We start from the raw sequence: 24081 nt of genomic DNA, 5'->3' as shown, positions 1-24081 counted from the left end.
CTGGATAACTTTTTATTTTTTGTAGAGACTGGGTCTCCCCATATTGCCCAGGCTGGTCTCTAACTCCTGGGCTCAAGTGATCCTCCTGCCTCTGCCTCCCAAAGTGCTGGGATCACAGGCGTGAGCCACCACCCCAGGCCTGGCTGAGATTTAAAAAGCTGACATTTTAAAGTGTTGTTACCCTGGTTAAAATCTCCTGTTTACAGAATAGGAAAAGTCTGAGAGGAGTGATATGTATACTCAAGGAGTTGGCCAACTCCAGAGCTGCATTCCAAACTACCCACCTCCTGAAACAGGACTGACAGGTGGGAGGTTTAGCTTCAGACTCAGTATGTGAGTCTGTAAAATGATTTTTCCTTGTGGGCCTCAGTTGTCCCATCTGTAAAATGGGGGAAGGTTTGAATTGGACTAAAAATCTTCCCTACCCTAAATGGTAAGGACACAGCACTGGGAGATATATACTCCCTGCCCTAAAGCTATAAGGATCCCCTTGATTCCACTTTGGCCTGGTTCTGGCTACATGCCAGGACTCATCGTGGACACAGCCTCGTTCCTGTAACCATGGGAGATTAAGTGTTAGGAAGGTCTTACAGATCTGGATGGTGAAACTCTTTCCATCCATTCCTTGGGTAAGTTGCTCTTCCTCTTGGTGTCATGCTTTCTCATCTGTAAAATTGGGATCATCACACTTTCCTTTTATTGGGGTTTAAATGACACAGGTATTTGCGTGGTCAGCATTTGGTCAGTGTTAGGTGGTGACAGTAGGATGTTGTGTTCAATTCCAGGAAGCAGCATATTCCTTGTAGGCTGGGCCTGTGGTACCATTTGGAATTGTGCAGTCCACAACCTGATCAACCATACCCAGCCATCTCAGGTGGCAATAGTGGTGTGTAGTGGTGGTTGTTGTTGCTTATTGTTATATTTACTTTTCCTGGAGTCCAAGGTCCCTAGGCCAAGAGGAGGGGAGAGGCCTGGTTGGCATAAACCAGGGGCTCCCTAAGGCAGCGGCGCCTTAGCTCAGACTTCAGCTCACACCTCTCTGCCTAAGAAGTGAGCCAGTTCATTCCCTGTAGGAGTAGATAAGTTGAGACTCCAGCTGTGGTATCTTGAGCTGAAGCAGCCTCCCCTGCATTCCAGAGTCCTTCTCCCAAATGTCACTGTCCAGTGCTCTTGGGAGCCTAAACCCTCACTCTGCCTCTTTGAAGGCTTGGCCCCTCTCCACAGTGCCCATCCCTGATGCAATATCTCCTTTGCCTCTCCAGGGCTCTGCCAGCAGACAGCCTTGGCACACAGGCACAAGGGCTGGAGCCCAGAGATGAGAGTGCCCAAGGGAGGTAAGTGCACCTAGAAGGAACTTCCCCTGGAGTCCTGGCCCCTCCTGAGACCGCCCTCCAAAAGTCCCCTCCATGCCCCCAGCCTCCATGATTGGGTGCCTGGGCAAACTCCCCTGGCTGGTTTTCACCTTTCTGTTCAGCCAGCAGGTTGGAAATCTGGTACTAGAAAAAGCTGCATCCCAGCAAGCATCATAGAGAGATGAGCATCTTCCTTGTCTATTAGGAAGACGATTCTCCAGGTGATAGGAGAGAGAAGGCTGAGTCCCAAAGTGGGCGGGGGACTTGCCCAGTGTCACGGAGCAGATTCAAGCCAGAACCCAAACGCTGTTGTGTCCCGTTCTCCTAATGTTAGTGTTTTAGGTATGCTTTCTCAGTACCCCACAGGAGTTCCTTGGCCTTCTGAATAGCTTCCTTGAGAAAAGGGTATTATTATTCCTTTTTTGGAGAAGAAAGTAGAAGCTCAGAGAAGTGATACCTTTTGTCCAGATCACCAGCTGGCAAGTGGCAGCAGAAGTGAGATTTGAACCTTGGAGTGTAGTACTCCAAGTTAGAAGCCCTCACCTATCATCCTCACTGCGAGGATGCCAGGATACCTCCCTTGCCAGGGTCCAGCAGGGTGATGAGGGTGTTGGGCAGGCCTAGTTCCCTGGGCTGGGCCCTCTAGCTCCTTCCACAGTGGGGTCCCTAGCTCTGGGTAACCAGGAAGCTACTTTCTGCTTTGTGGGTTCCAGGCTGCTTTCTGTGTCCCAAGTCACCCTGCTTTTTCTTCTTAAGCCATCGTGCAGGTCATTGCTGTCTTCTGCTCACTTCTGACTTGCCTGCTTTGAGCTGTTTTCTTCAGCCTTGGCCTGGTCTGATCCAGGATTCCTGCCCTGGCCATGCAACCTTGGGCAAGCTGCTTCATCTCTTTGAGCTTAGATACTGCAGGGAAAATGCTTTAGCAGAGTTTATGCTCCATAATTTCGAACACCTTTGCTGAACATAAAATGCTGAAGCTGGCCGGGTGCGGTGGCTCACACCTGTAATCCCAGCACTTTGGGAGGCTGAGGCGGGCAGATCACCTTAGGTCAGGAGTTCGAGACCAGCCTGGCTAACATGGTGAAACCCCATCTCTACTAAAAACACACAAAAAAATCAGCCAAGGTGGGGATGCTGTCACTGAAATCCTAATAACTGACAGGATTCTGGTCACAGGTCTCAGGGGAGAATTTCACTGAGCACCTGATGAAGACAAAGGGTCGTTGCAGGGATTTCGGAATGGCTTCATGTCCTGTTCAGCCTGCCTCCCCGCAGGAAGTAGCTCTGAATTAGCTTTCTCCATCACAGACCCTGAATCGAGGGTACAAATGAAGCCCCAACCTCTTCAGCAGAACTTCATCAGCACGTTTTTCTGAAGAGAGGGAAATTATCCAATGCACAGAGAGGCCGGTGACCCCAGCCTGAGATCCATCTCTGGTTTGTCAGCTGCTTCTCATATTTTCACAGCAGCCTCTGAGGTCAGTGGATCCACCCTGATTTTGCAGCTGAAGAGACTGTGGCTAAGATGAGGGAAGTGACTCTCCCAAGCCACATGGCCAGGAAGTCCTAGCCTCTTAGCAGTTTCCACCCCAGGCCTGAGACTGTGTTCCCTCCGCTTTGATGTTTATTTTCCACTTGCTATAGCCTAAGAAGGCCCAGGCAGCCCAAGCCCTTGCAGGTGGATAGGCCCAGCTGCAGACTGGGCCCTTGGGTGGTTTTGGGTGGAACCTCACATCCAAAGAGGCATGCTGTCTTCCCACTGGCTTCCACCAAACCCTCCGTTCACTAAGTCACTTGCAGTTCCCCAGTCGTGCTGCATCCTTTCCTGCCTGTGGCTCTGCGCTGGCTATTCCCTTTGCTGGTAACATCCTTGTTTCCCTTCTCCACCTGCCTGTTTCCTACCCACCACTGAAAATTCTGCATGAAGGCTACCTCCTGCAGGAGGCCTTCCCTCACCTACGCAGGTAGAACCCATCAATCTCTCTCAGGCACAGGTCCATGGTAAGAGTAGACTTTGGAGGCTGAGGCTCCCAGCACATAGCAGGTGCTCATTAAATGTTGGAATAAGTAAATAACCAATGATTATGATAGAAATCACTAATATTCTTGGGCCAGATGGGGTAACTCATGCCTGTAATCCCATCATTTTGGGAGGCTGAGGCGGGAGGATCACTTGAAGCGAGACCCTGTTTCTAAAAATTAGCCAGGTGCGGTGGTGTGTGCCTGTAGTCCCAGGTACTTGGGAGGCTGAGGCAGAGGATTGCTTGAGCCCAGGAGTCCGAGGCCGCAGTGAGCTATGATCTCTCACCACTCAATGCACTCCAGCCTTTTTTTTTTTTTTTTTTAGACGGAGTCTCGCTCTGTCGCCCACGCTGGAGTGCAGTGGCGCAGTCTAGGCTCACTGCAAGCTCTGCCTCCCAGGTTCACGCCATTCTCCTGCCGCAGCCTCCCGAGTAGCTGGGACTACAGGCGCCCGCCACCATGCCCAGCTAATTTTTTGTATTTTAGTAGAGATGGGATATCACCGTGTTAGCCAGGATGGTCTCGATCTCCTGACCTCATGATCCGCTGGACCGGGTGGCTCATGCCTGTAATCCCATCACTTTGGGAGACAGGTAGGAGGATCACCCAGGCCCACGAGTTCAAGAGCAGCCTGGGAAACATGGTGAGACCCCATCTCTTTAAAAAAACAAAAAAAATTGAAAAAAGTGCCCAGCAGGGTGCCAGGCACACAGCTAGTGCTTATGAAAGGTGCCCTCTGCATTCATGTCAGCAGCCTCTTGTTTGCAGTTATAGGGCTTTGCAGTTATTGGAGAGCTCACAGCTCACAGACCTCCCTGACTATGCATGTCCCCCTCTCTCCCCAGATGTGAGCCTGGCGGGCTGCCCGCTAACCTGTCGCTGAAGCCCCAGAAGCGGGCCCTCAGGCCAGGCCTACCCTGCCTCCGGCCCAGCATGCGCCTGTCGGTGCGGAGGGTGCTGCTGGCAGCCGGCTGCGCCCTGGTCCTGGTGCTGGCGGTTCAGCTGGGACAGCAGGTGCTAGAGTGCCGGGCGGTGCTGGCGGGCCTGCGGAGCCCCCGGGGGGCCATGCGGCCTGAGCAGGAGGAGCTGGTGATGGTGGGCACCAACCACGTGGAATACCGCTATGGCAAGGCCATGCCGCTCATCTTCGTGGGTGGCGTGCCTCGCAGTGGCACCACGTTGATGCGCGCCATGCTGGACGCGCACCCCGAGGTGCGCTGCGGCGAGGAGACCCGCATCATCCCGCGCGTGCTGGCCATGCGCCAGGCCTGGTCCAAGTCTGGCCGTGAGAAGCTGCGGCTGGATGAGGCGGGGGTGACGGATGAGGTGCTGGACGCCGCCATGCAGGCCTTCATCCTGGAGGTGATTGCCAAGCACGGAGAGCCGGCCCGCGTGCTCTGCAACAAGGACCCATTTACGCTCAAGTCCTCGGTCTACCTGTCGCGCCTGTTCCCCAACTCCAAGTTCCTGCTGATGGTGCGGGACGGCCGGGCCTCCGTGCACTCCATGATCACGCGCAAAGTCACCATTGCGGGCTTTGACCTCAGCAGCTACCGTGACTGCCTCACCAAGTGGAACAAGGCCATCGAGGTGATGTACGCCCAGTGCATGGAGGTAGGCAAGGAGAAGTGCCTGCCTGTGTACTACGAGCAGCTGGTGCTGCACCCCAGGCGCTCACTCAAGCTCATCCTCGACTTCCTCGGCATCGCCTGGAGCGACGCTGTCCTCCACCATGAAGACCTCATTGGCAAGCCCGGTGGTGTCTCCCTGTCCAAGTGAGTGGAGCCCCTGATGCTTCCACTCAGACTCTGGCCCTGGAGTCAGAGGCGCCAGGCAAGAAAATCAGCACTGCCTTTCTTGAGCTGTGTGGCCTTGGGCAAGTCACTATATCTCTCTGAGCCTCCGTTTCATTATCCCAAAAAATGACAACAATTACTCCTCTCCTTTCTGAGAGAATCTGCAAACTTCGTGGGCTGTTTGTTTGTTTTTTGAGGCAGTGTCTCGGTCTGTTGCCCGGCTGGAGTAACAGCCGCCACCTCCCTGTTCAAGTGATCCTCCCACCTCATCTTCCTGAGTAGCTGGGACTATAGGCATGCGCCACCAAGCTGGGCTAATTTTTGTATTTTTGGTAGAGATGGGGTTTGCCCTGTTGCCCAGGCTGGTCTCAAACTCCTGGCCTCAAGCAGTTCTTCCACCTCAGCCTCCCAGAGTCCTGGGATTACAGGCATGAGCCACCACACCCAGCCTAGAATCTGCAAACTTTGAATATGCTTTGTAGTAAGGCAATAGTGGGTAAAGGTTAAGAGCACAGATTCCAGAACAAGGATGTCTGGGTTCAAACCTCAGCTCTGCCACTTCTTAGCTGTGTGACCCTGGGCAAAGCGACTCAACCCCTGTGCTTCCATTGCTTCATCTGTAACATGGAAATATAATTTGCCTACCTTATAGATACCTGTGGGCATCAAATAGGTTAATAAATGTTAGGTGCTATTATTACTATTTTAGTGTTGATACTGCTTTTATTGATGGAGTACCCATCCTCACCATTGTCATTTAATGAGTGCCTACTGTATGGCAAGTATTGGGTTAAGCCCCCAACAAGTTTATCTCCTTTAATCCTCACAGCAACCTGAGGACATAGGAACACCTCTTATCCACATTTTATAGACCAAAAAACTGAATCTCACAGAGGAGAAGTTACTGGCCTCAGGCTACACAGCTAACAAAGCATGGTGCTGGGATTGGAACCCAGGTCTGTTTTTTGGGGTTTTTCTTGTTTTTGTTTTTGTTTTTTTGAGACAGGGTTTCACTCTGTTGCCCAGGCTGGAGTGCAGTGGCACGATCCCAGCTAACTGCAGCCTCGACCTCTTGGGCTCAAGCAATTCTCCCACCTCAGTCTCCCGAGTAGTTGGGACTACAGGCGAGCATCTCCACACCCAGCTCATTTTTTTTTTTTTTTTCCTAGTAGAGATGAGATCTCAGTATGTCTTCCAGGCTGGTCTCCAACCCCTGAGCTCAAGCCTTCCTCCTGCCTTGGCCTCCCAAAGTGCTGGGATTACAGGCCCCTGGCCTATTGTGTTCTTAAACTCCCCATGTCCAGAACTCCTCCCATCCTCCCCTTCACTCCCCCTCATCCTTTCCTTTCCTTCCTCCCTCTGTCCCTTGCTCCCTGCCTTCTTCCATTGGAAAAGCTGCTGTCCCTATCCTGAGACCCAGAGCACTTTGAACAATGCTGGAGCAGAATATGCAGTTTCCACGCTTTCCCATCCTGATCAGGCTCTGGATAGCCTGAGAGCTCAGTGAAAGGGTGGTCCTTCCCATGGCTGGTCCTTCCCATGGCTGGTCCCTGCTGGGCCCCTTCCCAGGCCCAGAGCAGAGCTAGAGGCTCGCAGCTGCTCTCCGCTAGCAACAAAGTTCCTACATGCCGGGTACCCCAGCCAGTTGGTGCTGGAGCTAGGATTTTATAAATTATTATGACAAAAATATTAGATTACCAAAGTAATACATCTTGACTATAGAAAATTAGAAAAGATACACCAAAGAAGAACGGAGAAACAACCCATGATCTCACCACCCAGATCTTGATGTGTGGCCTACTGCACCATTTTCAGGGCCTGTTGATGAAACTGGAGTCCAACGAAACATACTCCTCTGTAGCCTTTTTCCACGGTGGTGTGGGAGCCCTTGCCAGTGGCAGCCAGCACTCTTTGGTAGCAGCATTTTTGTTGTTGTTTTGTTGTTGAGACGGAGTCTCGCTCTGTCACCCAGGCTGGAGTGTAGTGGTGTGATCTCGGCTCACTGCAACCTCCGCCTCCCGGGTTCAAGCAGTTCTCCCTGCCTCAGCCTCCCAAATAGCTGGGATTACAGGCACCCGCCACCACGCTCTGCTAATTTTTATATTTTTAGTAGAGATGGGGTTTTGCCATGTTGGCCAGGCTGGTCTCGAACTCGTGACCTCAGGTGATCTGCCCGCCTCAGCCTCCCCAAGTGCTGGGATTACAGGCATGAGCCACCGCGCCTGACCTGCAGCATCATTTTGAATAGCTGTGCGACAGGCTGCTACACGGATTGCCATATTCGACTTCACATTCCCTATTGTTGGACACTTCGGTTATTTCCAGTTTTACTGATATGTATCAAGCATTGCCCTCATTCATGTTCTGGGATGTGTCCACCTCATTTCTGCACCATAAAGTCCTAGAGACACAAGGATTTTGGCAAAAGCCATGCACATACTCAAGATTTTTGACATATTGGGTAGAGTTAAGATTTAAATCCAGGTTTGCAGCCTCTGAATCTGTGTTCTACCCACCAGTCCACACCCTTTCACCTTCCCCTGTTCTCCTCACCTCACGCCCGGTCTTGTCTTCCTTTTGCTGCCTCTTTCTGTTCTTTCCCAAGTCACCTCTTAGTTGGGATGAAAACATTTAGAACTAGGCCCTTGATCCTGGGGGTTCCCCACCATTCATCCTGTCAGGCCCCTGAGTTATAATTGGTAAGATCTGCATCATTCAGGTGGCTTGGGAAGCCTGTTACAGGGAGAGTTAGGAAGCAGGTTGAAGATGATGGTTATTCCATGGTAGCTGTGAAAAGTTGGAAACAACCTAAATGTCTGTCTTCAGGGGAATGGAAAAATAAGTGATGGAGGAAGGCTACATAGCTGGCAAAAAGAGTGAGGTATTGAGTGGGGAAAAAAAACTAGCGTATTTGTTTTACAGCTGCAGACGCGCGTTTGTGTGTGTGTGTGAGAGAGAGAGCGTGTGCACAGGAGAGAGAGCATGCTAACCCTTATTAAAAATTTACAATGTGTTGGCCAGGCACAGTGGCTTATGTCTGGAATCCCAGCACTTTGGGAGGCCGAGGCGGGCAGATCACTTGAGGTCAGGAGTTCGAGACCAGCCTGGCCAACATGGTGAAACCCCGTCTCTTCTAAAAATACAAAAATTAGCTGGGCGTGGTGGTACATGCCTGTAGTTCCAGCTACTTGGGAGGCTGAGGCATGAGAATCGTTTGAACCCAGGAGGTGGAGGTTGCAGTGAGCCAAGATTGTGCCACTGCACTCCAGCCTGGGCAACAGAGTGAGACTCCATCTCCAAAAAGAAAAAACTTACAATGTGCCTACGCTCTTCTAAGCACTTTCTTTGTATTAACTCATTTACTCTTCAGACAACCCCAGTGAGGTAGGTACTACTATCATTGCCAATTACAGAAGAGGAAACTGAGGCCCAGAGAGGTGAAGTAACTTTCCCAAGGCCACACAGCTGGGGAACAGCTGGCGTCTGAACCCAGGCAATCTGGCTCCCTGGTTTGCTCTTAACTACTCTACAAGAAAAGGTTAGAGAAGGTGGTGTGCTCCACAGTGCAAAGACTGAGTGCCTGTAGGAAGCCGATGGGCTGGCAGTGATGAACACAGTGGCTTTCAGCTTTATCATTAGTGTTTTATAACTTTTTTTAGGGACAAAATATTCATGTTAGTCATACACATTAAAAAGTGTTTCTTTTTTTTTTGAGACAGGGTCTTGCTCTGTTGCCCAGTCTGGAGTGCAGTGGTGCAATCACAGCTCAGGCTCACTGCTTCTTCAACCTCCCGGGCTCAAGCAATTCTCCCATCTCAGCCTCCTGCGCAGCTGCTGGGACTACAGGCGCTTGTTACCATGCCCAGCTTATTTTTGTAATGGGGTTTCACCATGTTGCCCAAGTTGGTGTCAAACTCCTGAGCTCAAGTGATCCTTCTGCCTTGGCTTTCTGAAGTGCTGGGATTACAGGTGTGAGCCACTGTGCCTGACCTAAACTGTTGTTATTTTTTAAGCTGGAGAAGAAAGCAGAATGTATGTACCAATGGTGTATACTGCTAGTACTTTCTTCTGACTTCTCACTGCATGCTGTGTTCCCATTGTACAAAGGAGGTATGAGGAGGCAAAAATGACTCACCTGCCATCTCACAGTTGATGGGGCAGAGCTGGGTGGAGGCCAGGTTTCTCCAGTCTTTCCTGCTGCCCCAGAGTGGCTGAGCAGGGAATCCGCTCAGGCGCCATCTGGGTCTGCCCTACCCTCTCCAGCGTCTCCTCTCTCCCCAGGATCGAGCGGTCCACGGACCAGGTCATCAAGCCTGTTAACCTGGAAGCGCTCTCCAAGTGGACTGGCCACATCCCTGGGGATGTGGTGCGGGACATGGCCCAGATCGCCCCCATGCTGGCTCAGCTCGGCTATGACCCTTATGCAAACCCCCCCAACTATGGCAACCCTGACCCCTTCGTCATCAACAACACACAGCGGGTGAGTGTGCACCTGTACTTGTGGAAGTGTACTCTTGGGGATATGGGGCTTCTGCAGATGTGGAAACTCCAGCCACCTGAGGAAATGTTCAGTCTCTCAATTCCTGGTCATCTGATTTGTTCCTGTCTGATGGACACAGTGAACTACATGATTGCTTGTATTTCCATTTTGCTTGGGCTGCAGGGAAGCTCAAAGCCAACTGGTAGCCTGTCTCTCATACTCTAACATCTAACAGCAGGCCAGCTTGTACACTAATTTCATCTTATTTCTCTAATTTTATTTACATTTTTACCCCTATTTCCCTGGCTATTTGTTTATCTGTTTGTAAGGCACCTCAAGTCTTTGTTGAGAGGGGGTATAAATAAATAAACTATTGGTCCCTTTCTTGTCTTATAAGGTTTAATGTGGATTTCTCAGACAAATGTGAGTTTAGGGCTGTTTAAATTATGCTTAAAATTCTCCTTAGTTAAGATGGTGAAGGGAAATGACTTTTTTGTTTTGTACTGTTTTGTTTGAGGCATGGTCTTGCTCTGTTGCCCAAGCTGGGTGCACTGGTGCAGTCATAGCTACTGCAGCCTGATACTTCTCGGCTTAAGCCATCCTCTCACCCCAGGCTCCTGAGTAGCTAGGACTGCAGGTGCACGCCACCATGCACAGCTAATTTTAATTTTTATAAAGGCGGGGTCTCGCTACGTTGCCCAGGCTGGTCTAGAACTCCTGGCCGTAAGGGATGCCCCTGCTTCACTCTTCCCAAAGTGCTGAGATTACAGGTGTGAGCCTCCAGTGACTGACAAAATGCTTTTGAAGTGTTAAAGTAGGCTAACACCCACTGGGTAAAAGAACAGTTAACAAGTTGATGGCCTTATTTATACGTTTCCATTACAGCTTCTAGTTTACTTTAAGTGCTGTGTTCTAACTTCCTTATAGGCAAATATTTGAAAATGGGACCCAGGCCTGAGGAAGAGCTTTCACAGCCCTTACTTCATTAAGACCCAGAGTCTTTAATTTAAGCTAAGCTCAGCATTTCTGAGCGTGTGCTGATTTTAGGAAATAAACAGTTATCGTATTGAATCACAACGGAAAAAAGTTAATCGTCTCTTAGTTCCGTAACTCTTCAGTTGGCTCAAGAAGAAAGTTTCCATTTGGTGCTAAAAAGTCATTACCACCTCTCTAGCACTCACTGATCTCTCTTTAACAAAGAGAATTTACTAACGCTGAGCTTTGGGGGCTGTGCCCTTGTAATTGAAGTGTAAGCTTTGTCTGTGGGTCTCGTGAGTTCCTCTTCCTCTTGACATTAGTTGATTTTGCAGACATCTATTTATGGAAATACTCAGAGATTCAACGTACATACCAGCCGACATTGACAGGTGAATGGCTGCAACCCAGATGTGGTTTGTTATTTTTATTATAAATATTATTAATTTTTATTTTATTATTCTTTAATAATAGTAATCTTTAAACCCTACTTATGTGTTTTACATACTTTTATCTGCCTGTGGGTTGTACATGTATTATCAAAATAAAAAATTAATTAACTGGATTAAAAAGATGGTAGTGATCTCACAATCCAGCCCCAGGTGCTTCTCAGAAGCAGAGGCGAGGGCCGGCTGGGGACACTGCAGTAGTGGGCTGGATGTTGCTTACTTCACTGTTCTCAGCCAAGGGCCCAGCAGTGGCTCCTCTGGGGTCTCCTTAAAAGGTGGCTCGCTGCCCCTGGCTTGCCCCAGGCTATGGGTCGGACGTTCCTGGAGTAAAGCCTGACTTTATGTATTTTATAAAACACAAATAATTTTCATGAGCACTGGTGGTTAACATCAACTCTTTGGAGCTTTTTGTGTTTGTTTATTTAAAATGGAAGCTGTCTCTCATTTTCATCCAAAGAGATTTCTTCCCTGGGGCGGTCAACAAGTCTTGGCAAGTGCTAGATCCCTGGTTTAGTTTTTGCCATAGCTTGGCTGTTACTGCAAAGAAAAGTCCTCTCACTAAGCCCTGTGAGTTTGCATGCATGCCTGTGTGCTTCTGTGAGTGCTGTGGACCCTGTGTGTTCCAATAATGGATCCTGGGGCTCAGTAAACACAGTGGCTAAAAGGACATCTATGCTGATGAAATCGTCTCTGCCTGCAGTGTCCCATACGGTAGCCACTAGCCATGTGTGGCCCCTGATTCTGTAACAGGAGGCTAGTCCAAAGTGAGAGGTCCTGTTAGGTGTAAAATACACACTAGATTTTGAAGGCTTAGGACAAAAAAGTATGTAACGTTTCTTATTAGTCACTTTTATATAAATTACATATTGAAATGTTAATATTTTACATAGGCTGGACATGATGGCTCATGTCTATAATCCTAGCACTTTTGGAGGCCAAGGCAGGCAGACTGCTTAGCCTAGGAGTTTGAGACCAGCCTGGGTAACATGGTGAAACCTCATCTCTACTAAAAATATTGAATATTAGCCAGGCATGGTGGCACGTGCCTATAGTCCCAGCTACTCAGAAGGCTGAGGTGGGAGAATCACCTGAGGCTGGGAAGTGGAGGCTGCAGTGAGCCGTGATCGCACCACTGCACTCCAGCTTGGGCTATGGGAGTGAGACCATGTCTCAATAGAAAAAAAAAAAAATTAGCTATATCAGGTTAAATAAAAGATATTGTTAGAATTAATCTCCCTTGTTTCATTTTATTTTAAAATGTGACTACTAGCGGAAAGGCCTGAAATGTTGTGGTTCTAACTTCAGGGCCTTTGCTCTGTTGCCTCTGCCTGGAGTGCTTTTTCTTCTGAGCTTAGCCTACCTATTTTTCCTTGTCGTTTGGGTCTCAGCTCAAAGGTTATCTATTTCAAGAGGCCCTTTTTATTTTTATTTATTCACTTTCTTAGAGACAGGGTCTCGCTCTGTCACTCAGGCTAGAGTGGAGTGATGTGATCATACTTCACTGCAGCCTCAACCTCCCGGGCTCAACCAATCCTCCAGCTGAGGCTGGAGTAGCTCCAGAGCAGCTGGGACGATAAGTGCATGCCACCATGCCCAGCTAATTTTTAATTTTTTAGAAATGGGGTTTCAGTGTGTTTCCCAGGCTGATCTCAAACTGCTGGACTCAAGTGATCCTCCTGCCTTGGCCTCCAGAAGTGCTGAGATTACAGGCATGAGTCACTGCGCCTGGCCCAAGAGTCCCCTCTTGACCACCCACTCAAAAGAAGCCCCCTGGTTACTCCTAATCCCACCTCTTTACTGTACTTTTTTCACAACAGTTCCCATGGTTTGCTATGTCCTTGTTTATCTGTGTTTATTTTTCTTGTATGTTATCTGGTGCCCCCTCTAGAATGGTAGCTCCAGGGGAACAGGAATTTCCATTATCTGGTTAACATCATGTCAACCAGACACAATGCTTAGAATAATGCCTAGAAGAAGAGGAGCTTAAGCAATGTTTGTTGGATGGAGGGATGGGTGGGTGGCGAGGTGGATGGGTGGATGACTGGATGTGTTGGGAATGACTAAATTTTATTTTTTGGCCATTTTCATAATAGTGATATTTCTTTTTCTCTTCCTTAGGTCTTGAAAGGGGACTATAAAACACCAGCCAATCTGAAAGGATATTTTCAGGTTAGAAACCCCAAGGGGAATTCCGAATTCTGTCTTTCTCAGCTATACCACCATCTGGCTGTATGCCCTTAGATGTGTCACTTCTCCACTCTGGTTGATGGTTTTCCCATTATAAAAAGGGGGATGTGAGCTGGCTGCCTGTAATCCCAGCACTTTGGGAGGCCAAGGCAGGCAGATCACGAGGTCAGGAGTTCAAGACCAGCCTGACCAAAACGGTGAAACCCCGTCTCTACTAAAAATACAAAAATTATCCGGGCGTAGTGGCACACACCTGTAATCCCAGCTACTTGGGAGGCTGAGGCAGGAGAATCGCTTGACCCTGGGAGGCAGAGGTCGCAGTGAGCTGAGATCACGCCGTTGCACTGTAGCCCGAGCGACAGAGCGAGACTCCATCTCAAAAAATAAAAATAAAAAATAAAGGGCTGTGGGGATGCGTGCTGGACCAGAGGGTCTCTAAGCACTGATCCAGCTGGGGCCACATCTCAGTGGCCCTTCTGCCAGGAAGCAGCCTCTCACTTCGTCTTCCGGCTTGAATGCAGTTGGAGGGACTTCGTGGGGACTTTTTCTTGGGCTTTCTTTCTTGTTGAGACTGGAGTGCAGTGGTGTGATCATGGCTCACTGCAGCCTCAATCTCCTGGGCTCAAGCAATCCTCTCACCTCAGCCCCTCAAGAAGCTGAGACTACAGACACACACCATCATGCCCGGCTAATTTTTGTGTTTTTTGTAGAGACAGGGTTTTGGCATGTTGTCCAAGCTTGAGTTGTATTATTTATAATAAACAGGTAGCAGTTAGTAAAGTGTTTTCCCTAGTGTCTTGTGAGCTGTTCTAGTGAATTATCAAACCAGAGTGGGGGTTGTGGGAACCTCCAGATTTGAAGTTGGCTGGGAAGAAGTGTGGATAGCCTGCGCACCCCATTGCAGCTGGCATCTAAAGTGGGGCAGTCGTGGAACTGGGCCCTTAATCTGTGGCAGCTGATGCTAAGTAAGTCTGGGAGCTGGTGTCAGAACTGAACTGAATTGTTGAACACCCAGTTGGTATCCAGATAATCAGAGAATTGGTCACTGATATTGGAAAGCACCCATAAGCCAATATCTGAAGGATTAAAACTAGGTCTGCCACACAAAGATCTGGATAGAAAAGGCTTCCCGGCAGAGGGAACTGTAAACGCCTGAAAGTGGGGAGTGTGGCCGAAACCTCTGGAGTGCGTATGCACTTTTGCATTCGTTGCAATTATATTTTTCTTTGTTTCTACCCCAATGTGATTTACAGGAATGTTCATTGCAATTTTCATGTTCAAACTGCCTTGTTTTGCTTTCTTAATATTTTCCTATCTTTTGAGTTTCACCGGCACCATTTTGGATGGCTACGTAGTGTTCTGTGGAATGCATGTGCTACCATTTACTAAACAGCTTCTTCAAGACCATTTCCAGTTTTTACAACATCCAGAATGACATTATGTGCACAGTGGAGGACAGTAGGGAGATGAGGGTTGGAAATAGAGGCTTGACAAAACTTATCTGCAGGGCAGCCCTCCTGAGCGTGGGGGTATGCCATTCCTTCATATTTTGTTCCTAAAAGCAACAAAAACCAGTCCCAGGTCAGCTAGACATCTTGCATATGTCATACACGGCAGGAAGTATAAACTGGCCCAACCCTTTTGTTTTTGTTTTTGTTTTTGTTTTTGAGATGGAGTTTTCCTCTTGTTGCCCAGGCTGGAGTGCAATGCGGTGATCTCGGCTCACTGCGGCTTCTGCCTCCCAGGTTCAAGCAATTCTCCTGCCTCAGCCTCTCAAGTAGCTGGGATTACAGGCACCGGCCACCACGCCTGGCTAATTTTTGTATTTTTAGTAGAAAGGGGTTTCGCCATGTTGGCCAGGCTGGTCTCGAACTCCTGACCTCAAGTGATCCACCCACCTCGGCCTCCCAAAATGCTGGGATTACAGGCGTGAGCCACTGCTCCTGACCCCAACCCTTTTGTAAAACACTTTTAGCCTTGTTGTTCAAGAGTCTTCAAAAGATCTGAACCCTTCCACCTGCTCCTGCTGATTCCTTTTTTTTTTTGAGATGGGGTTTCACTGTGTCACCCAGGCTGGAGTGCAGTGGCGCCATCTCAGCCCACTGCAACCTCCACCTCCCGGGTTCAAGCATGATTCCATTTTTTAGAAGTGAATTCTAAGGGAATGATTCAGTAGAGCTTCAGTACCCAACAGAAGAGAGGCAGAATCAGGATGTGATGTCATTTAAAATACTGCAAAAATTGGAACCATTCTTAGGTAAGCAGTCAGTAAACGGTGGTACATGCACTCCACAGAATATCTGTAGCCATCCAAAATGGTGCTAGTGAAACCCAAATGATGAAAAAATAGTAAGAAAGCAAAACAAAGCAGCTCATACTATACAATTGCAACTAATGTAAAAATGCATATTCAGGTGGACAAAAAAAGGCAACACGCAGGAGTTGGGTGCAGTGGCATGCCTGCAGTCCCAGGTTCTCAGGAGGCTGAGGTGGGAGGATCGCTGGAGCCCCTGTCTCTTAAAAACAACAGCAGCAACAACAACAACAAAAACGAAGGCAACGTGCAAAAATGAGAAGTTTCAGTTTGTGGATAATTCTCCTCATCCCCACTGTGTTGTTCTGCCTACATCATCTTTTTGGTTAAAACAAATACTAAATTAGTGCTCACTAATTCTGGCTACTTTCTTGACGTCAGCAAAAGATAGATCTCTGATTCCCACAAAGGGAGTGGGACCTCTCCCCAAACAACCAGGAAATGCTCAAAAGCCATGGTCCCTAGCTCTCAGATCGCATTAATTTTTTTTTTTTAAATTCAAGGCCAACACAGTGAGACCCCATCTCCCTACAAAAAAGAGAAAGCCTTAGCTGGGTATGGCACATGTGGCACATGTTCGTGCCACTGCACTCTGGCCTGGGTGGCAGAGTGAGACCCTGTCTCATAAAAAAGAATACAACTCAGGTACAGTCAAATGCAAGAAGCGTAGGGTGAGGTATGGGGGATGGGTCACAGAACATCCATGCCCTTTCCCGGCATGACACCCTCCCAGCCTCTCAATGTGTTTACCAACCAGGAAGCTTTCCAAATTCTGTCATTTAGAGATTTCATCATAGAGGCATGACTGATTAAATCATGGGTCATGGGTGATTGCCCAATCTCCAGCTCCTAGCCCCTAGACCCTCTCCCCTCTCCCCTCCCAGGAGGTCAGGGAGGGGAGAAGGCAGGTGGGGCTTAAAGTTCCAACCTTCTGGCTGGGTGTGGTGGCTCATGCCTGTAATCCTAGCACTTTGGGAGGCTGAGGCAGGCAGATCACTTGAGGTCAGCAGTTCAAAACCAGCCGGGCCAACATGGTGAAACCCTGTCTCTACTAAAAATACAAAAAATATTAGCCATTCGTGGTGGCACACGTCTGTAGTCCCAGCTACTTGGAAGGCTGAGGCAGGAGAATTGCTTGAGCTCAGGACGCGGAGGTTGCAGTGAACCAAGATTGCACCACCGCACTCCATCCAGCCTGGGCAACACAGTGAGACTCCGTCTCAAACAACAAAAAAAGTTCCAACCCTCTAATCATGCCTTGGTCTTTCTGAGACCCCTTCCCCTAATCCTGAAGCTATCTAGGGACCCCCAGCCATTAGTCATGTCATTAGCATGCAAAAGATACGTTTTGTTTTTTTTTTGTTTTTGTTTTTGTTTTTTTGATACCTAGTCTCCCTCTGTCACCCAGGCTGGAGTGCAGTGGCATGATCTTGGCTCACTGCAACCTCTGCCTCCCGGGTTCAAGCGATTCTCCTGCCTCAGCCTCCTGAGTAGCTAGGATTACAGGTGCCCGCCACCACACCCGGCTAATTTTTGTATTTTAGTAGAGACAGAGTTTTGCCATGTTGGCCAGGCTGGTCTCAAACTCCTGACCTCAGGTGATCCACCCTCCTCGGCCTCCCAAAGCGCTGGGATTACAGCCATGAGCCATGGCGCCCGGCCAAGATACCCTTATTCCTTCAGAGATTCCAAGAGTTTGGGGAGCTATGTGCCAGGAACTGGGGACAATGAACAAATATTTATTATTATACCACAGCTGAAATGCCATCTTGTAGAGTCCTTTCCTGGCCACCGTTTTTGAAGTAGCACAGATACTGATCACTCATAGCAGCCTGTCATATTGCCCAAGTTTGACATTTTCTTGCATCTGTGCGTGTTCAGTAGGCTTTTTCTTCAACTCGAACGTAAGTTCCGTGATCCTAGGTTTGGGTCTGTCCCGCTCACCACGCTATCCCAGCACCTGGCACATAGTAGATGTACAGTAAATACTACGTGAATAAGCATGTGCATGACTCAGTGATGCTGAGGGGTGACCCTCAATACAGCAAGGCATCCCTCACCTGGCCGTGACCCCTTCTTCTGTGTATTGTCTTTCTCCAGGTGAACCAGAACAGCACCTCCTCCCACTTAGGAAGCTCGTGATTTCCAGGTAAGCCTGTGGACTTCACTGGGGGTTCCCGCTGCTTCTGGGTGGCCCCGGAGCCACTTTTCTGAAAAGCCACTTTTCTGTCCTTCCAGAGCCTCCCTGGGGTAGACATGTCCACTAGGGTGGGCTGACCCAGCCCCATCAGAGGTTTCCATGGTGACAGACTGGGGGTGCTATTTATAGAATCAAGGCTTAGTTTTCTAGCTCTGGATCAAGGACAGGGAGAGGGATTAACGCTGAACCAACCAGAAAAAGGTTTGTCTGACACTGGGGACAGGGCAGGAAGCACCACTATGATGGGGGAGGGGGAGATTCTGGAACCATTTTTGCACAGAATGCTGTCTGCCAGTCTGGCTTCTAAAAACAGCATCAGCGTTGGGCCAGAGCAATTAATGTTCTAATAACAGTCACAAGTCGTTCTGTTCTAAGAATAACCCCCATGGCCGTTGGGCCAGGTACTGGTCCTGTGTTACTCATTTAACCCTCAGCATCCTTGGGAGGCGGATGACATGATCATTCCATTTTACAGAAGAGAAAACCAAAGCACAGAGAAGGAAGGGCTTTGACTTGCCCAAGGCTACACAGCCACCAAGGGACAGAATTCCTCCCAGGTTTGCTTTTAGTGAATGATTTTAAGTGCACATTTATCCATCCATATTCTACTAAGGGGTGGGGAAAGGGATTTTTTTGAACTTGGTAATTCAAAGATTTAAGATCTCCAGGTTTAACTCCCTTCAGCCCCTGTTTTCTTCATCTGGAGAATGGGGATTCATCATTGCCCACCTCTGAGGTTGGCCATGAGATGGCGTGAGCTGGCCCAGGTGGGAGTGCTTGGAAACCGTGAAGTGCTGGGCCCTCGCTGTGGACTTGGGCACTGGAGTTAAGGCTGCATGAGTGAGCTCACTTCCTTCTGTCCCCCAGCCTCTATGATCAGGTTAAAGGAAACCTCAAGAGAGGTTATTTTACATGGAAACACCTTCCAGCTTGGACTCTTATTTTTAGTCTCTGTATCTATTTTTAAACAATCAGCATATGTTTTAGTTTTTCTTTCAATTTACTTTGCTCCAACCTGCAAGGACTCTGTCATTATTAGGGTTCCCATCTTGAGTTGCACTAAGATCCCAGAGTTTTTGTTTTTGAGACAGAGTCTCACCCTGTTCCCCAGGCTGGAGTGCAGTGGCACGATCTCAGCTCACAGCAATCTCCACCTTCTGGGGTTCAAGTGACTCTCGTGCCTCAGCCTTCCAAGTAGCTGGGGTTACAAGTGTGCGCTACCACACCCAGCTAATTTTTGTATTTTTAGTAGAGACGGGGTTTCACCATGTTGGCCAGGCTGGTCTCAAACTCCTGGCCTCAAGTGATCTGCCCACCTCAGCCTCCCAAAGTGCTGGGATTACAGGCATGAGCCACCACACCTACCCAAGATCCCATAGTTCTATTCCAAAGAAAAGAACCCTCTCATGAAAAACAGCTTTCCTCCCTGTTCCTCACTAACTGTTCCCTCGCTGCCTTTCTGCAGATCATTAGTAGAATCCTGGACCTTCTCATTGACAAAAGCAGATTTGTTACTTGTTTTACTGTTTAAATGAGATACCATATAGAGGTGCTTTAGCTGAATCCTGGGTACAGAGTTGGCCTTGAACAAACATGAGTCCTTCTCTTGCCTCCAAGAATTCATCAGTATTTATCACATAATCACTGTCATTTGCTCTGTGTCCATAAGAAAAGTGTATATTTGAGGTCAAGTGGATGCAAGATGAGATGTGGGGAAGAACCCAGGAAACGTTTTTAAATTTAAACTCTCTCTGGCCATCTGGGATGCATTCTTAAAACATTACATGCTTATGCGAATGGATGAAGACAGTATGTTCTGCAATCACATGTATAAATATAAATGATCTATTTCAGAATTGTTACTCTGAGCCTAACACAGTCTTCCCCACTTTCAGATCTCCGCAAATGACTTCATTGCCAAGAAGAGAAGAAAATGCATTTAAGTGGAAATCGGACCTCTAATCCAAGCATATTGCTTGCTATTAATCGCCAAAACAGGACTGCTGATGAGGAATGTATTTGCATATGTTTGCAAAAGCTGAATCATTGAAAACGTACCTTGAAACTCTCTATCTCTGGACACTCCAGGGTAGAGAATGAAGGGTATGGAAGTAGTCCGGCTTTTGAAACTTAGGTATTTTATATTTTTCCCCTCAAGAACTTTTTTTTAAGAGACAGATTTGCCATCCTCCTTAATTTGCAGGACTGCCTTGGTGGCTTTGTTTGCTGGGACAAGGCCCACAACCTGTGCCTCTCCTATTGACCCTTACTTTGAATTCAAAGAATCTATTTAAGAGTTTAATATATGAGGCTTTCTTTGATTCCTCCTCAGTTCTACCTAGTTTCACAGAGGAAAAAAATACTCTTTGAATAAAGTGAACAGAGGCTCATTTGTTTGTGCCTTACTTTACTGAATGAATAGGGTTTTTTTTTTCTTTCCATACTGGATTTTGTCAGGTAGATTTGTGATGAGCAAAAAGCTGGAGAATATAGGTGCATGTAAGGCACAGCTGAATTCCTGTGTCAGGGTCCCCAGGGCCACCCCCAGGATCGATGATTGGCTAGAAGAACTCAGAATTCAGAAGAGCTATTATCCTTATGGTTATGGTTTATTACAGCAAAAGGATAAACATTAAAATCAGCAAAAGAGGCCGGGTGGAGTGGCTCACGCCTGTAATCCCAGCACTTTGGGAGGCCAAGGCAGGCAGATCGCCTGAGGTCAGGAGTTCGAGACCAGCCTGGCCAACATGGTGAAACCCCGTCTCTACTAAAAATACAAAAATTACCTGGGCGTGGTGGTGTGCACCTGTAATCCCAGCTACTCAGGAGGCTTGAACCTGGGAGGCGGAGGTTGCAGTGAGCGGAGATCGTGCCATTATACTCCAGCCTGGGTGACAGAGCAAGACTCCATCTCAAAATAAAATCAACAAAAGAAAAAGGTGCATAGGGCAGAGTCCGGGAGAGACCGGCCTCAAGCTTCCAGTTGTCATCTCCTGGTAGAGTCTTACAGACACACTTAATTTTCCCAGCAATGATATGTGACAACACGTACTAAATATTACCAGCCAGAAAGCTCACCCTAGCCTTGGGGTCTAGGTTTTTATTGCATGTCAGTCACATAGGGCAATCACATGACCGACTTTAGTTACTTAATCACCAGCTGCTCCAGAGGTCAAAATGATACAGCATGGCCCAAGGTCCCCACCATAAATCACATTATTAGCACAAACTATCTGGCCTGGTATGGCCCAAGGCCTGAGGTATACAAAGACACCCCTACTTGGGAGGATATTCCAAGGACTTAGAGGTTATCTCCCAGGAGCCCATTAAGGCCAGTTTTTTCTTTGAGATGTGCTGGGTTTGGACACTTCAAGCCTGCTGAGTTAACCCTTATAGCACAGTCCCCAAATGCTGAGGGACCAACTGGGCCTACAATAAGTTTGTATCTTTAAGGGTTAAGGTGTTTTACCCATACCTCCTTGCCTTATATCTCATGATAATATGAGGCTTTTGGAAGGCAGTGACTTATTGTGGCTTGGGGCATGGGTTTTTGGAGTCAGGCTGACCTACTGGCTGTATGGCTTGAGACTTTGTCTCTTCATCTGTAAAATGGGGAAGTTAAAACTTCATGGTGTGTATGTGTGTATGTGTGTGTTTAGACAGAATCTCGCTCTGTCACTCAGGCTAGAGTACAGTGGCGTGATCATAGCTCACTGCAGCCTCGGTCTCCTAGGGTCAGGTGATCCTCCCATCTTAGCCTCCTGAGTAGCTGGGCATGTGCCACCACACCTGGCTACTTTTTAAATTTTTTTTTTTCTGTAGAGACGAGGTCTTTCTATGCTGTTCAGGCTGAACTTCATGGGTTTATTGGGGATGGCTAATGGATGACATTGGCGGTGGTCCTTGATACCAGATAAGCCCTCAGTGTGAAGCAGCTCTTATTTTTCCTTGTCTTGAGATTGCTCTGGAATGGAAATTAGGCTTTTTTGAAGGTGTGACCCTTTTTGTTCATTTCTTCAGCAGTTACTTTTTATTTTTTAAATGTTTGACACACAGTCTCTGATAAATGATCATTCACCAATCACCGATTACTCTCCTTGCTCTGTTAAGTGTGACACTGTCCCTTTGAGAATCTGGCGACAGCTATGTATCCCATCACCACACACCCCAAAAAAAAAATTTATGTCTGGTTCCAGGAGTTACCTTTTATGAGAAGTCCATCTGTGAAGACCCTGGATGTTCAGAGAACTTCCTGGGAAAACACTGAAAGAAAATAAAGAGGCCGGGCCCGGTGGCTCATGCTTGTAATCCCAGCACTTTGGGAGGCTGAGGTGGGCAGATAAGCTGAGGTCAGGAGTTCCAGACCAGCCTGGCCAACGTGGCGAAACCCCATCTACTAAAAATACAAAAATTAGCTGGGCGTCGTGGCGCATGCCTGTAGTTGCAGCTACTTGGGAGGCTGAGGCAGGAGAATTGCTTGAACCCAGGAGGCAGAGGTTGCAGTGAACCAAGATCATGCTAGTACACTCCAGCCTGGGCAACAGAGTGAGACTCCATCTCAAAAATAAAATAAATAAAACAAAATAAAATAAATACAATTTCTGTTTCTAGCCCCTAAGTGGTAGCACTGGGTCTTGTTCCCTGAAAAAAACTAGGCTCAGAATCCACTCTCATTTCATCTCCCCTGATTTGATCTGAAAAGATTTTGTTTAGAGTACTACATGAATATATTATAAAACATGGGACAATCAGAATTGATAGTAAGAAGGCAAGTGGCTCTATTTGTACTTCCTCTCAATAGCTCCTAAAGGTAATGCTACCATTTTCTGTTTGTACATAGTCTTCCAGACTTTAAATTTTTGAACATATAAATATTATCATCTTAAAGACGTATGGAAAAAACCATTTTGAATAGGTTATTCCAAAATGTAATTTAACAGATTGCTCTGGAGGATTGTTTGTTTGTTTGTTTTGGAGACAGAGTCCCGCTTGGTTGCTCAGGCTGCAGTGCAGTGGCACAAACACAGCTCACTGCAACCTCTAACTCCTGCAAACACAGCTCACTGCAACCTCTAACTCCTGCAAACACAGCTCACTGCAACCTCTAACTCCTGCAAACACAGCTCACTGCAACCTCTAACTCCTGCAAACACAGCTCACTGCAACCTCTAACTCCTGGGCTCAAGCAGTCCTTTCACCTCAGCCTCCTGAGTAGCTGGACCATGACACCTACCTAACTTTTTATTTTTTGTAAAGAGGGGAATCACTATGTTGCCCAGGCTGGTCTCAAACTCCTGGGCTCAAGCAATCCTTCCTCAGCCTCTCAAAGAGTTGGGTTTACAGGCGTGAGCCACCGCACCTGGCTCCTGGAGCATTTCTGATGTGAACATGTGCTGATCTAACACCACTCCTTTTACCAGCTGCCTGTTCTAGAGCAAACCATCTTTTTTGAGCATTCCACTTTGGCTAGGCCCTTAGGCTGTTAGCAGTTTTCATCGCTACTGGCAAAGCTGCAGTGGACGTTCTCCTGCACATATAACCTCTTGATGCCACTGTATGAGTGAGTCTCTGCAAAATGAGAAGTAGAATTGCTGGGGTGAAAGGCATACATACTAACTTTTTTGATTAATTCCACCCATGTACCCTGATTTGGGCAGAATTTTAATCTCACTGTGAAATCAGAGCTTTGTTCTAGAGCCTTTCTTGGGGGTTCCATGGATCAGTGGGTCAGCCGTCACTTGTGCCCTGGCCCATCCTCTGTCCAGCTTGGGCAGCATGCATCATTCATTCTGATTCCTTAATTTGCCATATGTGAAAACATGGTAATCTATACATTACTTGGGTGCTATTATTATATATAACTAGCTTTGGAGTCAGAATTAGCGTCTCATCCTGGCTCTACCACTTTCCAACTGTGCGACTGTGGCCAAGTGACTCCCCTTCTCTGAGCCTCAGTTTTCCTCTTCTGTAAAATGGGGGTAAAGGGATAAGAACTATAGGGGGATCTCAGGGGATGGTTAAGAGAAATCCATGAGATAAGCAAACACATTATCTAGTTTAGTAAAGCTAAGCAATGAAGACTTAACAGCCCCATGGTGAAGGCTTAATACATGGTAGCTATAATGATTACTATTAATATTGTGAAATAAAAGGTTGTGATGAACCAACCATATCTTCTCATCAGGATGTATGTTTGTCCAACTGATAGCCATTTGTAGTCATGATCTGGGGTTGGAGAAGGGTCTTCTGCACATGTGCCAGATGGACTGAATATAGATCTTCACTCTCGTTAGCAGCCACCAACCT

The 24081-nt window shown here is 47.8% G+C and overlaps 1 protein-coding gene across 7 annotated transcripts in view, besides 1 other annotated feature; it reads left to right on the top strand.

Annotated features, from left to right (window-relative positions):
• TPST2 (tyrosylprotein sulfotransferase 2) overlaps positions 1-23942 on the top strand; it is a 68137-nt gene extending 44195 nt beyond the window's left edge. For 5 of the 7 annotated variants that reach the window (NM_003595.5, NM_001362923.2, NM_001008566.3 and 2 more), the window contains 6 exons: positions 1263-1334; positions 4220-5149; positions 9452-9650; positions 13193-13243; positions 17676-17724; positions 19671-23942. In NM_003595.5, the coding sequence (NP_003586.3) occupies positions 4308-5149; positions 9452-9650; positions 13193-13243; positions 17676-17717 (1134 nt within the window). In that variant the 5' untranslated portion in view covers positions 1263-1334; positions 4220-4307 and the 3' untranslated portion in view covers positions 17718-17724; positions 19671-23942. Of the gene's footprint in view, positions 1-1262; positions 1335-4219; positions 5150-9451; positions 9651-13192; positions 13244-17675; positions 18333-19670 lie in introns of all 7 variants that reach the window. The other 2 variants (XR_007067981.1, NM_001362922.2) reach the window with 2 other exon arrangements.
• Positions 4092-4593: an enhancer, noted in NCBI's record as "H3K27ac-H3K4me1 hESC enhancer chr22:26937311-26937812 (GRCh37/hg19 assembly coordinates)". NCBI's record gives its function as "activates a minimal SCP1, AML or CMV promoter by ChIP-STARR-seq in primed H9 embryonic stem cells {active_cell/tissue: H9 hESC(primed)}" and the evidence as "EXISTENCE:reporter gene assay evidence [ECO:0000049][PMID:30033119]".
• Positions 23943-24081: the final 139 nt, after the last annotated feature.

Source organism: Homo sapiens, chromosome 22 (genome assembly GCF_000001405.40).
Source record: "Homo sapiens chromosome 22, GRCh38.p14 Primary Assembly".
NCBI lineage: Eukaryota > Metazoa > Chordata > Mammalia > Primates > Hominidae > Homo > Homo sapiens.
The sequence above is the reverse complement of the archived record's forward strand: the minus strand, read 5'-3'. Positions and strand labels throughout refer to the sequence as shown.